Here is a 17,541-nt window from a genome sequence, read left to right as displayed (position 1 = left end):
TTGGCTGGGCACATTGGCTCACACCTGCAATCCCAACATTTTGGGAGGCTGAGATGAAAGGATTGCTTGAAGCCAGGAGTTGCAAGACAAGCCTAGGTGACAAAGTGAGACCTTGACTATAAAAAAAAAAAATTAACCTTTCCGGCGGTGATGACCTACCCACACGAGAACATGCCTCTTGCAAAGGGTCTCCTTCATCCCTCTCCAGAAAAGGAGAAGAGGAAACACAAGAAGAAACGCCTGGTGCAGAGCCCCAATTCCTGCTTCATGGATGTGAAATGCCCAGGATGCTATAAAATCATCACGGTCTTTAGCCATGCACAAACGGTAGTTTTGTGTGTTGGCTGCTCCACTGTCCTCTGCCAGCCTACAGGAGGAAAAGCAAGGCTTACAGAAGGATGTTCCTTCAGGAGGAAGCAGCACTAAAAGCACTCTGAATCAAGATGAGTGGGAAACCATCTCAATAAACACATTTTGGATTAAAAAAAAAAATTAAAACAATTAGCCGGGCATGGTGGCATGCACCTGTAGTCCCAGCTACTCTGGAGGCTAAGGTGGGAGGATCGCTTGAGCCTAGGAGCTCAAGGTTACAGTGAGCTATGATCACATCACTGCATTCCAGCCTGGGTGACAATAGCCCTATAATGTAGGTAGTTACTTTTATCTGCATTTTACAAATGAAAAGAACTGACAGACATTGAGTTAAAATAACCAGTACAAAAATCACAGATGGGGGATAGCCAAAGCTTTAAAATGGAATAGCAGGAAGTTTTAATTTGCAAATAGAATCATTAATGTTTAATAGAATCATTAATAGATTTAATAGAATTAATGAATTGATAGAATCATTAATTCATACTTAGTTTGGAGTGATTGTTGAACACATTTCTCAGCTAATTTAGGTCTTCATTATATTTTAGAACATATTATCTGCATCATTAAAAAATTCCTCATTTCCTCATTGCCTATCTCTGCCTTTTATTCACTCAGTTTTAAAATAAACAGATTTTGTTTATACTGCTTCTTTTATTAATATTTATGGTAAGATATTTTATACTGCTGATAAATGGACATTAATGATATATAGCCTATTGTTTGAAAAAAGCATTTTGGATTATAGCCCAGAACTGGAAACAACCAAGAGATAAATAAATGGTGGTATATTCATACAATAAAATATTACTCAGATAAAAAAGTTCAGTTCAAAACTTTCAGTTTTATCATTGCATTATTTGCAGTTGTAAAACATGGTAACATCACAACCTTATGTTACAAAGTTATTAAAAATATTAGCAAGGTACACTGATTGCTGTAGCCATGTTACAATTAAGCTAAAGGAATTTCTTGTTAACCAAAAGCAAAAAATAAGTTTGGTTTTTTTGGATCTTAATTGACTATTTATAATAGAACTTGCCTTTGGGTAGCGAACAGATTCACAAATGAAAGAGGAGATTCTGGAACTTACTGTATAATTCCAGGTAACTCTGTAAAGTTTGAAATGTAAAGACCATGCCTTAATACAATTGATAATTGGAATCGTGCTGGCATCTTCTTAACATCTCTTGCTTGTCTGTGGAGCATGGCATGATTACTTATACATTACTACATTTAGGAAACAGCCTTTATAAGACCCACTTTTTCTGAAGTTTTTGGTGTTACTCTTTTCTTAACCACCAGTACTGATCTCATTATGTTTTGGCCGACTTACTTGAGGGCATGCTAAAAAGTGATCTAAATACTTAATTTCTCCCTTCAATTGTGCATCGTGTTTTACAAATAAACCGTATCTTTACTTTCATTTACTTGCATGTCACTGAGAAAATTTGAGATCTTTAGCATTCATGTCCTTGCCTGAAGTATAAGGATTTCACATAATTTCAGCTTTTATCATTCAAGTCTTATAGATGCTTTTCTCTTGTCTCTGTTTTCAAATAATGGTGCTAATTATATTTAAGGGGCAGTATGTTTATTCAATATAGTTATAGTGTTAGCAGTGTAGGATTTAACAAGCTTTTCCTCTGGAATGTATACTAGTTCTTCATGTTCTATGTGATAACTTATACAGTGCTATGGTATTTTTGTTGTTAGATTTAAGTTTTCTTTGAATTTTTTTTCTGTCCATAATCTTAGGCTTTCTTTTTGTGCTTACTGTTTTTTTCTCCCCCAGAATGATACATGGCAGCGATTATAAATCTGTTTTATAAAACTTAACTTCATTAAACATATGAAGAACGTGGGATTATTTTTCTTGTCATAAAAGGTGACCTCCAGTGACAAATGGCTATTACATTATTTATGTGAGATTCCTTCATTTCATATACTGTTATCAATGTGTTTGATAATGGTTGAAGAACCAGTTGGTGTTGGTTTCTAATACTAATTAATAATTTGCCTTGAGCCTGATCAATCTTCTTATATCCATTATCAGATTTTTTTCTTCAAATCTGAAAATGTTTTCTTTTCTTTTCCTTTTCTTTTTTTTTCTTTTCTTTTCTTTCTTTTTTTTTTTTTTTTAGACGGAGTCTCGCTCTTTCCCCCCAGACTGGAGTGCAGTGGCGCAATCTCTGCTCACTGCAAGCTCCGCCTCCTGGCTTCACACCATTCTCCTGCCTCAGCCTCCTGAGTAGCTGAGACTACAGGCGCCCACCACGACGCCTGGCTAATTTTTTTTTGTTTTGTATTTTTAGTAGAGACGAGGTTTCACTGAGTTAGCCAGGATGGTCTTGATCTCTTGACCTCGTGATCCACCTGCCTTGGCCTCCCAAAGTGCTGGAATTACAGGTGTGAGCCACTGCACCCAGCTATTTTTTCTATATTTTTATGTAGTTCATTGAGGGTAATAATTTTATCCTACAACAAACATGTAAGTTATTGAAGAATATTGGAGTTTTATGATAATGCTGTCATAAATATAAAAGGTAGGGTAAGAGGGATCCAAATAGAGCTCACTTATATTGTCACTGATAGGCAGTCACGCTGTGCTGATAGAATGTGGCCTGACACTTGATGGAGTGCAGCATATGTATACTTGGGCAATTTGAGCAGATATATACGGTCCCGAGTTTAAAGAAGAGAACAAACACCAGTGCACAGCTATAGTATTCCTAATATAGGATGCATTTTAAAGAATTTCACATTCTACAAATGGAGAGAGATGGCAGGAGAAGCCTTATTTTAAGTCCTGCACTAAGGCAGGTTAACCTCATGGGTGTAATTACCTGGACCTTTTTGTAAGGACAAAATATTTAATCATTAAAAGGCCCTCTGTAGGGTTTGAAATATCTATATTTTATATATGAATGCTTCTTTTATTAATATTTATGGTAAGATATTTTATACTGCTGATAAACGGACATTAATGATATATAGCCTATTGTTTGAAAAAAGCATTTTGGATTATAGCCCAAAACTGGAAATAACCAACAGATAAATAAATGGTGGTATATTCATACAATAAAATACTACTCAGATAAAAAAGATGAACTTAATCTCATAAACATTATGGGCAACATAGTGAGAACCCATCTCTTTTAAAAAAAAAAAAAAAAGAAAAGGTGGGTGTGGTGATGCGTGTCATAGTCCCAGCTACTCGGGAGGCTGAGCTAGGAGGATTGCTTGAGCCCGGGAGTTTGAGGTTGTAGTGAGCTATGATCATGCCACTGGACTCTAGCCAGGAGCCTGGGCAACAGAGCAAGACCTTGTCTCTAAACAAGGCAAAACAAAAACAAAAAAACAAAAATCAATTGCATTTTTATATATTAGCAGTGAACACATGGAAATACATGCAATACCATTTATAACAGTTCAATCAAAAGAAATACTTGAGCATATATCTAACAAAACGTATATAGGACTTACTTGTATACTGAAAACTGCAAAATGCTGATGAAAGAAATCAAAGACCAAAATAGTGAGAGATACTGTGTTCATGATTGGAAGACTCAACATAGTAAAGATGTCAGTTCTCCTCAAATTAATCTACAAGTTTAATGCAATTTTTATCAAAAGCCCAGGAAGATTTTTTGTAGATATAGGCAAGATTATTATCAATTGTGTGTAGAAATACAAGGAAACTAGAATAGCTAAACTGAATAAAAAAATTGGAGGAATCACTCTACCTGATTTCAAGACTTATTGTATAGCTCCAGTAATCAAGATTGTGTAATATTGGTAGAAGGATAGACCAAAGATCAATGAAACAGAATAGAAAAGCAGGAATAACAGAATAGAGACCTATACAGATATCCTCAGTAAATTTTTAAATTGAGATATAACTTACATACCTGTAAAATTCAGTGGTTTTTTATTATATTCACAAAGTTGTATAACATTCACCATCATTTAATTCCAGAACATGATCATCACTTAAAAAATAAATGCTGGCCTGGTGCGGTGGCTCACGCCTGTAATCCCAGCACTTTGGGAGGCCTAGTGGGTGGATCACCTGAGGTCAGGCATTCGAAACCAGCCTGACCAACATGGTGAAACCCCGTCTCTACTAAATATACAAAAAAAAAAAAAAAAAAAAAAAAAAATTAGCCGGGTGTGGTGGTACATGCCAGTAATCCCAGCTACTTGGGAGGGTGAGGCAGAGAATCCCTTGAACCTGTGCAGTGGAGGTTGCAGTGAGCCAAGATCGCGCCATTGCACTCCAGCCTGGGAAACAAGAGCAAAACTCTGTCTCAAATAAATAAATAAAATAAAAATAAAATAAAATAAAATAAAATGCTGTATTCATTGGCCATTGCCCAACTGATTTTTGATAAAGATGCAGAAGCAATTCAGTGCAGGAAGGATAGCCTTTTAAATAAATGGTGCTGGAGCAACTGGACAGCTATAAGACAAAAAAAAAAAAAGGAAAAAAGGAAAAATCTGACCTAAACTTCACACCTTATAAAAAAATTAACTGAGAGTGGATCATGGACTTAAATGTAAAACATAAAACTAAAAAAAATTTTAGAAAATAACAGGAGAAAATGTTTAGGATATAGAGCTAGGCAAAGAGTTCTGAGACTTGACACCAAAAGTATGATCTAGAAAAGGAAAAATTGGTAAGTTGGACTTCATAAGAACTAAAACATTTTGGTCTGCTAAAGACCATGTTAAAAGGCTGAAAAGGCAAACTACAGACTGGGAGAAAATATTTTTGAACCACATATCCAATAAAGACTACTGTCTAGAATATATAAATAACTCCAAACTCAGTATTAAAAAACCCCAAGTAATCCAATTAGAAAACAGCAAAAGATGTTAAGGAACATTTCACTGAAGAGGATATACAGATGGCATGTAACCCCATGAAGAGATGTTCAACATCATTAGCCGTTAGGGAACTGCAAATTAAAACCACAGTGAGATATCTCAAAATAGAGTTTAATTTTTAAAAAGCCTGGGTGCACTGGCACACACCTGTAATCCTAGTACTTTGCGAGGTTGAGGTGGGAGGATCACCTGAGCCTGGAAAGTCGAGGCTGCAGTGAGCTGTAGTCCTGCCACTGCACACCAGCCTGGGCAACGGGAATGAGACTGTGTCTTAAAACAAATTGTTTTAAAGGAAAAAATAATATCATTAAATTCAGTAAATGCAGGAAAAAAGGCTAAAGCAGAAAAAAACCACATGTGATCTCAATAACTGTATATAACTTCCAGTAACATTTTGTTGTATTTTATACATTTTTTTGCCCTCTGCATTTTTATATTATATAGTTAACTGAATATGCAGTTGTGTCTTGCTTTTTTCACAATACTCAATATCATGAGTATTTTTATCACTTAAAATTATCCATGAATATAGATTTTAAATGGCTCATAATCTTTGTTGTATGGATGTACAGTAATTTATTTAACCATTCCTTTCATATGTTTAAAGTAGTTCCATTTTGTTGCTATTGCAAATAATGCTGTGAGAAACATTTTTGTATGTAAACTTCTGTCAGGATTTCTGATTCCTTCCTTACAATACATTCTTAGAGGTAGAATTACTGTGTCACGACGTGGGCATCTTAGAGGCCTTTGTTAACTATACATTGCCAAAATACTTTGCAGAAATATAGTTTCGATTTATGCCCCTTTTATATTCTTACATTTCTCCTTTCTCTAGGAAAATAAATGTTCATGTTACTCACCTTCACTCAAGGTTTCCAAACACTTTTTCTTGGCTCTCCTCCTACAACTCTGTTCTCAGCTTTCCAAAATTGTTTCTCTTTACTCCTTAGATATCTGGGTTTCCTTAGGTTCTGTGCTCTCCCTCTTCTCTCTATGTATATTCTTCTTTGAGCTAATCAGAACCAGCCCCTTGCCTTCAACTACAGTTTACATCATAATGACTCCTAAATCCCATATCTCTGCTGAGTTTTGGGAACCAGTTCTAACACCATACTAGATATTTTTACCTTATGCTACATAGCCATCACAAATGTAACTCCCTTATCCAAAACTGAACTCATTATCCAACCACACTAACTTCATCTCCACTGATGGCAGTATGACCCATCCAGTGGTAGAAGCCAGAAGTTTGGGAGTTAGCCTAGATTTCTCCTTGAATTTTGTGTACCACTGGTCAATCATTACATTTTAAGATTCTGCTTCCAAAATAGCTCTCTAATTTGTTACCTCCCCTTTCCACTGCCTTAATTTAGGCCCTCATATTTTTTGTACTGCTGCATTGGTGTCTTAACTGATACGCCCATTTCTGACCTAGTTCCATCCCTCAGTTTCATCCTTCACATTAAAACCATTTTGTCTTTTAATTTTTAATTTTATTTTTGAGACAGGGTCTGGCTCTGTTGCTCAGGCTAGAGTGCAGTGGTGCAATCTTGGCTCACTGCAGCCTCTGCCTCCTGGGTTCAATTCATCCTTCCACCTCAGCCTCCTAAGTAGCTGGGACTATAGGTGCTTGCCACCATGCCCAGCTAATTTTTTGTAGATCCAGGGTTTCACCATGTTGCCCAGGCTAGTCTCAAACTCCTGAGCTCAAGTGATCCACCTGCATCTGCCTTCCAAAGTGCTGGGATAGGCTGGGCACAGTGGGTCACACCTGTAATCCCAGCACTTTGGGAGACCGAGGTTGGCGGATCACTTGAGGTCAAGAGTTCGAGACCAGCCTGGCCAGCATGGTGAAACCTTGTCTCCACTAAAAATACCAAAATTAGCCGGGCGTAGTGGCGGGTGCCTGTAATTTCAGCTACTCGGGAGGCTGAGGCGGGAAAATCACTTGAACCCAGGAGGTGGAAGTTGCAGAGAGCCGAGATCACACCACTGTGACAAAGCAAGATTCAATCTCAAAAACAAAATATACAAAATGCTGGGATTACAGGTATGAGCCACCATGCCTGGCCCAGTTTGTCATTTTAATGCATGCATGTCAGCATGTTTCTCACCGTCACTGTCTTCTGTCTCCTGTAAAATAAAGCCTGTTCTCTGTAGCATGGCACCCATGAGCCTGGTCTTGATTTCCTTCCTCCAGGCTACTTTCATGATTTATCCCTGGCCATGCCTGATATGGCTCCCAGTCATGCTGAGCTAGTTTCCTCAACATATTAGAATTGTTTTTCAGGCCTTTATGCTTTTGCTCATGTTTTTTTTTTCCTTGACATGCTTCTTTCTTCTATCCATTTGCCAGATTTCTTTCACATCCTAAGATTCAGGTAACATCATAACCTCCTATGGAAAGCAAGCCCTCTATAGGAATTGTTAAGGGCTTCCTTGTCTGTGTTCCCACTGTGCCATGTACCTACTTCTTTCTGCCACCTCCTACATTGGTGTACTTTTGTTGTTGTTGTTAAGCTGTCCCTATTATACTAGATTGTAACACATGCTTTCTACCGCCTAGAGCAGGAACTGTGTACTCTTAATTGTTTCCTGAGGGCTTGAGATTAGCATCTGGCATGTAGTAGGTGTTTAATAAATATTTCTTGAGTAGATGAAGATATGAGTGAATGAATGAAGGGTTTCATGCTGAAAAATGAAAAAAGGGTTTAACTTTAAGAAAAAAGTCACAGATTTTGGAGTCATAGGAATTGAGTTTGAGTCCTACCGTCATTTCTTAGTGTTGATATAATTTTAAGCAGGTTGTTTCCCTCCTCTGATCTTTAGTTCTTTTGCAAAAGGGAGGTGGTAGTAGTAGTAGTAATACTATTAACAGTAGTAGTAGTAATAATAAAAGTGCTTTTAAAATAAATATTCTGCAAATTTTAGTTAATATTGTTAACAGTAATAAAAAGCATCTTCTATATGTAGGCTGCACATGCATAATGCATTGTCTTGAACGAAGTGAGAGGAGAATTACTTAAAACTTTGGGTAGACGTACTCATCAATTACAAGATCAATTTACTTGGTTTTGCTATAATTTGGTTGCCATTGTTGACCCATTGCTTTATTGTCCCATTGTCTCATCACTTGCTCAGACGCTGAAGATGGGTCAGGGGGAGTCAGTTTTAGAAAACAGCCTTCCCTGGGCCGGGCACAGTGGCTCACGTCTGTAATCCCAGCACTTTTGGAGGCTGAGGCAGGTGGATCACCTGAGGTCAGGAGTTCAGGACCAGCCTGGCCAACATGGTGAAACCCCATCTCTACTAAAAAAAAATACAAAAGTTAGCTGGGCATGGTGGCGGGCGCGTGTAATCCCAGCTACTCGGGAGGCTGAGACAGGAGGATTGCTTGAACCTGGAAGGTGGAGGTGGCAGTGAGCCGAGATTGCACCATTGCACTCCATCCAGCCTGGGCGACAAGAGTGAAATTCCATCTCAAACAAACAAACAAACAAACAAACAGATATAAAAAAAAGAAAAAAAAAGAAAACAGCCTTCCCTGAAAGTTGTTTGTGATGCTTATGGTCTAGGATGTGAAATTTACAGGATGATGAAACATGCAGATATTAATAGTGTTCCATATTATTTTTGAATGTGGTTTGACTTTTCTAACGATCAGCAGTGACAAACTTGTGTACTACCAGTCAACCCTGTTTTCCATGTTTTCTCTACAGAGATGTATAGTTAGAGCAGAGATGACTAATGTGTTTTCAAGAAATGCTACTATAACCTTTAAGTCTGATGGGTAGATTGAGCATTTAAAGCTGTTGCTTTTTCATCGCATCTGGATGACTGTATGTTCCTACCAAATGAATCACTTTATGAATATGCATGAGCTTATAAACACAACTTTTTAGAAAAAATTCTTGTGTTCTGAAACAAAATTACGTTGGTAGTATTTTCCAAGTTTTCCGTAAGAAGTAGCTTTGCATTAGCCCTAGAAATTCCTTGAATAATATGTTTTTACCCCCTTACTTGTATTACATTTAATGACATCTCTGGCTTTATTTTCTCCATTCTTTTTTCCATGGAGTTTCTTAATTTCACTGTTTTTGCCTTGCCCTTTAGACGGGTGAAACAATGATGACTCATTTTAGATTGATGAAAGGGACAGCTTAGCAGCTGGAGAGCTGGTAGACACTAGAGCACTAAATTGCCAGCACCAGCCTTCTCTTCATTGTCCACGTAAGGCTTGTGGCAGAGGTATGCCCATTCAGTCATTTATTAATATGTAATTTGTAGGTTAGATGACTTCATCAAATTATATTTACATCTGACCTGGAGGTTCAACCATGTTTTGCTTTGGGACATTTTTAATTGTTAAAAATCATAGTTGGGTTCTGATCAATATGTACATGCTGAAGTTCTTATTTAGCCACATTATGGGCTTTTTTGGTTTTCTTCAGCATGTCAATAGTACACAGCAGCTCAGAATGGTCAAAATTGTTTCATTAGTGCCTTAACAACCATTCATGATATATCATATTGTAGAATGCAAGTATAGTCACGCACTGCTTAGCGATGGGGATACATTCTGAGAAATGCATCATTAGGTGATTGTTTCCTTGTGGGAACATCATAAGAGTGTACTTACACAGACCTAGATGGTATAGCCTACTACCCACCTAGGGCTATGTGGTATGGTCTGTTGCTCCTAGGCTACAAACCTATACAGCATTTTCCTAACTCAATATTGTAGGCAGTTGTGACCCAACGGTTAAGTATTTGTGTATCTAAACACAGCTAAACAGGAAAGGTGCAGTATAAATACAGCGTTATCATCTTACAGGACCTCTGTTGGTATATGGTGCACGACTGTATATCCTTTATCTACATTTCCCCCTTTTGGCTTGGATAGACCATCAATTCCTTGGGTTTACATTTATTTCATGTAATCTTAAAGGATTTTGTTTTATGCATGGCACCATTTTTTTTCAATACAAATGGTTAGTATAAAACCCAAATTTGAGAATTTGATAACAATGGCTTAGTATTGAACACAAGTGTTACATAAAGTTGTGGAAAAAGCCTTAGAGAGGTAGTCAGGGGATTTGAGTTCCAGGTCTGACTGTGCACTTGACTCACCACGTCATCTTGGTTAATAATCACCTAACAATAAAAATAATAACCTTAATTTATATAATGCTCTGCAGTCTGCAGAGCACTTTTAAAGAAAGTATAGGCTGGGTGTGGTGGATCACATCTGTAATCCCAGCATTTTGGGAGGCTGAGACAGGTGGATCACTTGAGTGATTAGGAGTTCAAGACCAGCCTGGACAACATGGTGAAACTCTGTTTCTACCAAAAACACAAAAAAGTAGCTGGGTGTGGTGAAACATGCCTGTGGTCTCAGCTACTCCAGAGGCTTGAGCCTGGGAGGCAGAAGTTGCAGTGAGCTGAGATTGTGCCATTGCACTCTAGCCTGGGTGACAGAACGAGATCTTGTCTCAAAAAAAAAAAATTGTATTGGGCATAGATATGATTATTCACATTTTGTGATGAGGAAACTAAAATTCAAAGACTTTAAGAGATTTGCTCAAGGTCACATACCGGTAAGGGCTAGAACTAGCATTGATTTTTATCACTTTCCTTTCAGTCATACCATGCTGTCTCTCATTTTACTTTTATGGGTATCAGTTATGAAATAAGGGGGTTGGACCGGATCAGTGATTTTTTTCAAGCTACATTTACAGAGAGTCTTAGGATTCTTTTGAGTGGCCTCCAGGTTTGCTTGTGGAATGAAGATTGAAATATAGGGAAAGGTGCTTAGCTTTGCACCAGAGTATCCACACTGAGTGAGGTAGTAGTTGCTCATTGACAGTTGAGAAACTACTGCATGTTATTACCGATGGATGAGTTTGTGTCCCTTTAGTATGACTGGACAAAAAGAAAGTGGAAAGACATCTGATATAAACTTTTGAGGTTTTGTTTTTGTTTTTTAAAGAATGGGGTAGAATTCCATAGCTACTTAAAGCTTGCAAACTACTGCATTAGATGATTTTTTTTTTTTTAAGGTAGGGTCTCACTCTGTCACTCAGGCTAGAGTGCAGTGGCGCTGATCTCAGCTCTCTGCAACCTCCGCTTCCTGGGTTCAAGTGATCCTCCCACCTCAGCCTGCTAAGTAGCTGGGACTACAGGCACATGCCACCACGCCTGGGTAATTTTTGTATATTTTGGTAGAGTTGGGGTTTTGCCATGTTGCCCAGGCTGGTCTTGAACTCCTGAGCTCAAGCAAACAAACTGCCTTGGCCTCCCGAAGTGCTGGGATTACAGGTGTGAGCTACCATGCCCAGCCAGATGGTTTTTAAGGAATTTTTCAGCCTGTGAGTTTGTAAAATATTGCAACCTTAACTTTGGTGGTGTTACCTGATGAATCCCTGATGACTTTACAGCTGTTGCAGGCTTACATCAGTTTAGAGTTATGGGGCATTATTGAAGCCCTGTTTATCTTCCAAGATAGTCTTTATTCTTCTTTGCTAAGGTGGCTATTTTTAGTAATCTTTAGGGAAAAGAGGCACAATGGCAGAAATGAGCATGTGTTATTATTAGTATATTTATGCAGCCAATATTGGTAATGCTTTTTTTTTTTTTTTTTAAAGACTGTGTAGGAGTGAAAGGGGAGTTTTCCTTTCCGCCTTTGAGGTTAGCTGAAAATCAACTGACAAAAGTCAGATTAATAGGAGAAAAGGCATAAACATTTTTATTAACATGTATGGAGGAAAATCACAGAGAGATTGCCCACAACCCAGTGGGGTACAGATGCTTATGTACCCTTGTTTTTAGAGGAAGGGAGATGGGGAGGTATGGATGATTTTACAGGGCTAGTAAATGATTTTTAAAGTTATTCAGTGGGCTTGGAGAATATACAGTGGTCTGGGACAAAGTTTTTTGGGCCTACAGAGCAGATAGTGGTTTGTGACAAAAGTCTGTCCAGGCCCGGGTGTGGTGGCTCATGCCTGTAATTCCAGCACTTTGGGAGGCTAACGCAGGTGAATCACTTGAGGCCAGGAGTTCAAGACCAGCCTGGCCAACATAGCAAGACCCCGTCTCTACTAAAAATACAAAAAATTAGTTATGCCACGGTGGCGCACATCTGTAATCCCAGCTACTTGAGAGGCTGAAGTGGGAGAATCACTTGAACCCTAGAGGCGGAGGTTGCAGTGAGGTGAGATTGCGCCACTGCACTCCAGCCTGGGTGACACAGAGAGACCCTGTGTCAAAAAAAAGATAAAAGTTACTCCCAAGCACTGGCATAGTGCAGTGTGCAATATATATATATATATATATATATTTTTTTTTTTTTGTTTGTTTGTTTGTTTGTTTGTTTGTTTTTAAGAATATTAGCTGGGCATAGTGGCACATGACTATAGTCCCATCTACCAGGGAGGTTGAGACTAGAGGATCACTTGAGCCCAGTAGGTCAAGGGTGCAGTGAGCTGTGATTGTGATTCCAGCTTGAGCGACAGAGTGAGTCCCTGTCTAAAAAAAAAAAAAAAAATCATCAGGTGTATTGACATACTTCAGTCTCTCTTCCTGCAATATTAGTTCAGTTAATGAAAACTCGGGGAAGGGACAGAGATAACTATTTTCTTCTTTGGCAGGTCCAGATTTAGGCAGATAAGGGAACTTCAGAGAACAACTTCTCCCTGTGCTTTGGGGGTGGTGAGGGGATGGTCAGAGAGGCCTTGAGGATTGTACAGTTCAGCATGTCAAAGTGCCATATTTTGAGGTATCGGTTTCTGGGCCTCAACAACTGCTAATAAGAATGATTGACTTTGGAGTTGCCTTGGAGTTATTTCAAAAAGTGAAAATGTTATTGTTTAGCCCACACTAGTTATCTTAGTTGTCATTTGTGTTTTCTACAATCTGCCAATGGTTAAACCTGGCATTTCTATCAAGAAGGAACTCTTTTTGCTTCCAGAGTAAAGGTATTTTTATTATATTAACCCTTGAAATAGATCCAGTTATGTATTCACTTTGCGTTTGTTTCTGAACAAAATAAACCTGTGTGGTAAGATGGAAGTGGGTTTTTCACTTACAATATTAGTTACTTACATTTGTACCTTTTTTTTTTTTTTAACTTCTTCACATTTCCTCCCTTGCCCTCCACAATCTGATAAGCATCTCATTGATGACTATGAGAGACTAATTTAGGCCGTGTGGTTATAAATGAGATTTCAATTCATTTCTTCTTCTCTTAACCCGTCTCAGAGGAGATATCACAGGGTGACTTTCTATGTTGCGTTTTGACACAAGGACAGTTTGTTTTTGCTTTGGCTGATGGATGGGGCAGCTCTAGTTGATGAATGTGGTTTATATGCTCACAGGCAGATGAAAGTGTCCACTCTGCCCTGAGACCCTCTCCTTTCTGCTTAGTGGTGTTATGAAAGCCCCATGGGTATTTGATTTTTCAAGAATTAATCAGTACACAGAAGTTGAAATGTAGACCAAAGGAAAGAATATGTTTTTTCAGTTAGGCTTTTTGTCTTTTTTTAATTATATGGGGTTTACCCTTTGTGTTTCCCAACTCAGGGGTTTCACTATTAAATAATTGTCTTTGACTCTTAAACTTTTTAGGTAAAATTTATATACCAGGAAATGCATAGATATTAAATATACAGTTTAATGAGATTTGATGAATTATTATAACCACCACCTTAATCAATAGAGAAAATCTCTATATCCCAGATAGTTCCCTTGTGCCTCTTTCCAGTCAATCTCTAGACACATTTACTTGTATAATAAAAAGATTTTGACATACCCAACTACAAAATGATCAGATCTTTGTTTCTGTAGCAATGGGTAGAATAAAATAAAGTAGGATTTACTTAAAACTAATATTTTCTTTGTAGGCAGGCCTGTTGTTACAGGTAGAAGGTGCTCAAAAGCTGGTTTCTTAACTAATTTATGGATTATTTTTATTTTTTATTTGTTATTTTGTTATTTTTAGGTTTTTTTTTTTTTTTTTTTTTTTTTTTTTTTTTGTAGAGACAGAGGCTCACTGTGCTATCCAGGGTGGTCTCAAACACGTTGGCTGAAATGATCTTCCTGCCTCGGCCTCCCAAAGTGTTGGGTGTGAGCCACTGTGCCCAGATTTATTTTATTTTATTCTGTTTTTTTAGAGATGACGTCTTGTTACGTTGCCCAGACAGGACTCGAGTTCCTAGGGGATTCTCCTGCTTCAGCCTCCTGAGTAGCTGGGACTATAGGTGCACACCATGGTGCCTAGCTTAATTAATGGAGTTTTTGATAATGGTTGACAAAGATAGTGGTAAGCAAAGCAGCCCTTATATAGACTTTACATCTTAAAACATAATCCCCTATGTGTGAAATTGAGAACAGCTTTCTAGAATAATAAACAGAGATCTGTATGCTAACTAAAAGGCAGAGAGAATATTGGCTCAGCCAGGCCCTCACTTTTTTGTTCCTCCCTATCTGTAAAACATCATTTACCTCATCAGCGTGCTACGGACATGGGTTAATGTTTGGAAAATTCTGTGGAAAGAGTGGGGTTCTGACAATGTGCTCTGACCAAGGCAGTTTAGCAAATTTGTACTAAGTGGCTGACCTTTGATAAGCACCACTCCTTCCCCACCTGACCTGTGATTCCATTTTTCTTTTGTGCAAATAGTTCTGAAGGTTTAATGTTTATTTTTTACTACGATGCAGTAGACTTTCTTCTCTCGTGTAGAAACTGCTCGAATGACTGTGGATGACTCCTAGAATATAGGAATAACAGAATTGGTTTCTCCTGTACTCTCAACACAAAATACTTCTGTGACCAAATGTGTGGGAGTGTGTCCCCACACACCAAGCAGTCAACCAGTTCTGCAGCAGCTGCCAGCTGGTGTCCTCTAATGCAGTTCAGTTCAGTTCAGTTCTGACACTGTCTACCTGGAGATAGCGTCAGATCTCACAGATTGAGGGCTCAGTCCCACAAGTCTGTCCCCAGTCTTCAGTGCCAGTCACAGGCTCCAGGTGGTTTTACCTGTGCTTCTGACCTGCTGGCTATAAACTGGTTTCCCAATATCCCCTTATTGGGTTCCATGAAATTGTTAGAGTGGCTCACAGAACTCAGGAAACATACTGACCAGTTCATTAGAAAGGATGTTTTAAAGGACACAAGTGAACAGCCAGATGAAGAGATACCCAGGGCAAAGCCTGGAAGAGTACTGAACGCAGGAGCTTCCATCCCGGTAGAGCTGGGGTGCCTCACCCTCCCAGCAAGTGGATGTGTTCCTCTTCACTCTCCTGGATGCCCCCTTTTAGGTTTTTATGGAGGCTTCATTAGGTAAGCATGATTGATTAAGTCATTGGCCATTGGTTATCAGTGCAACCTTCAGCCCCTCTCCTTTCCCTGGAGGTTGAGGGTGGGGTTTTGAGTTCTAACTGTATGAGCACAGGGTTGATTCCCCTGGCAATTGGCCACCAGTCCTGTGGTTATCTAGGGACTTTGCAAAAATCATCTCATTAACATAAGCTCAGGTGTGGTTGAAAGGGGCTTGTTATAAATAGCAAAAGACTGTCTTTTGCTTTTATCACTCTGGAGCTGTTCAGGAACCAGTGGCAAGAGGCCGAATACAGTATTTTAACCAAAGTCACTTAGGAAATTACAAGGGTTATATAGGAGCTTTAAGCCAGGAACCATGGAGATATATGTATGTGTATATATATATGCACATATACACATACAAATATCACCGCGACCCATGATGCTCTTCTCAAGGGCCTGTGCCTTCTGATAAACGGCTGAGTTGGCTGTTACACTTACTTTTTCGAGCAAATGAATGTGTAGTTTCATCTGGCTCATTCGTCAAACCCCGGGTTTGGAAGGTTGTATGTTTTTATTTAGCTAGTAGCAGTTGATGTGGTTGAGGTGGGGCTTTTCTTTGGGGAAGGTACAGCTTTGAATGGCTGTTATCTTTCAAGTACAAATAGTGTAGCTCCTTATGGCTCAATAGTATCAATAAACTGTTTTATTTGCTTTCCTTTTCTCTTCCTTTTTTTCTTTTTTTTTAAACGGAGTCTCTCTCTGTTGACCAATCTGAAGTACAGTGGTGTATCTAAACTCACTGAAACCTCCGCCTCCTGGATTCACGGTGAAATCCCGTCTGTACTAAAAAATACAAAAATTAGCCGGGCGTGGTGGCACGCGCCTGTAGTCCCAGCTACTCAGGAGGCTGAGGCAGGAGAATCACGTGAACCCGGGAGGCAGAGGTTGCAGTGAGTCAAGATCACGCCACTGCATCCCAGCCTGGGAAACAGCGAGACTCTGTCTCAAAAAAAAAAAAGAAGGGGTTGACTGCCAAGTTTAAATATTGGCAGGAGATGAGGAGATTTCAGTTTTTATGGAGCTTTGTTAATGAGCCGTGACTGTTTATTACAAGACTTTTACTTTTAAAATTTACTTAGTAATTATTTACTCATAAAACAGCTACTTACTGTAACCAGTAGGTCAGTTCTACTCTTGAGGCTTCACATTTCTTCATTTGTAAAATTAGTACTTGTATTGGTGTCCATTCCCTTTCTGAAATTCTGTGATATATACATTTCCTTTAAAATGTTACAATTGAAAAAAATAAAGTTACAATAAAGACCGTGTGCGGTGGCTCACCCTGTAATCCTGGCACTTTGGGAGGCTGAGGTGGGTGGATTGCCTGAGCTCAGGAGTTCGAGACCAGCCTGGGCAACACGGTGAAACCTTGTCTCCACTAAAATATGAAAAATTAGCCAGGTGTGGCGGTGTGCACCTGTAGTCCCAGCTACTTGGGAGGCTGAGGCAGGAGAATTGCTAGAACCCGGGAGGTGGAGGTTGCAGTGAGCTGAGATCATGCCACTGCACTCCAGCCTGGGCCACAGAGTAAGACTCTGTCTCTAAGGGAAAAAAAAAAGTTACAATAAAAGCCAGGTGCAGTGGCTCACCCTGTAATCCCAGCACTTTGGGAGGCCAAGGCGGGTGGATCACCTAAGGTCAGGAGTTCAAGACCAGCCTGGCCAGCATGGTGAAACCCCTTCTCTACTAAAAATACAAAAATTAGCCGGGCATGGTGGCAGGCGCCTGTAATTCCAGCTACTCAGGAGGCTGAGGCAGGAGAATCACTTGAACACAGGAGGTGGAGGTTTCAGTGAGTTGAGATGCACTACTGTACTCCAGACTGGGTGACGGAGTGAAACTGTTTCAAAAAAAAAAAATAAATAAAATAAAATAAAAACAATGATACAATAATTCAG

The 17,541-nt window shown here is 39.0% G+C and overlaps 1 protein-coding gene and 1 pseudogene across 15 annotated transcripts in view, besides 1 other annotated feature; both read left to right on the top strand.

The window, feature by feature from the left end:
- SIK3 (SIK family kinase 3) overlaps positions 1-17,541 on the top strand; it is a 255,027-nt gene that overhangs the window by 62,206 nt on the left and 175,280 nt on the right. The gene's annotated exons all lie outside the window — the stretch shown is intronic.
- Positions 137-483, top strand: RPS27P19 (ribosomal protein S27 pseudogene 19; annotated as a pseudogene).
- Positions 15,054-15,163: an enhancer, noted in NCBI's record as "active region_5561". NCBI's record gives its function as "activates an Ori minimal core promoter by ATAC-STARR-seq in GM12878 lymphoblastoid cells {active_cell/tissue: GM12878}" and the evidence as "EXISTENCE:reporter gene assay evidence [ECO:0000049][PMID:35858748]".

This window comes from Homo sapiens, chromosome 11 (genome assembly GCF_000001405.40).
Source record: "Homo sapiens chromosome 11, GRCh38.p14 Primary Assembly".
NCBI classification, from domain to species: domain Eukaryota; kingdom Metazoa; phylum Chordata; class Mammalia; order Primates; family Hominidae; genus Homo; species Homo sapiens.
The sequence above is the reverse complement of the archived record's forward strand: the minus strand, read 5'-3'. Positions and strand labels throughout refer to the sequence as shown.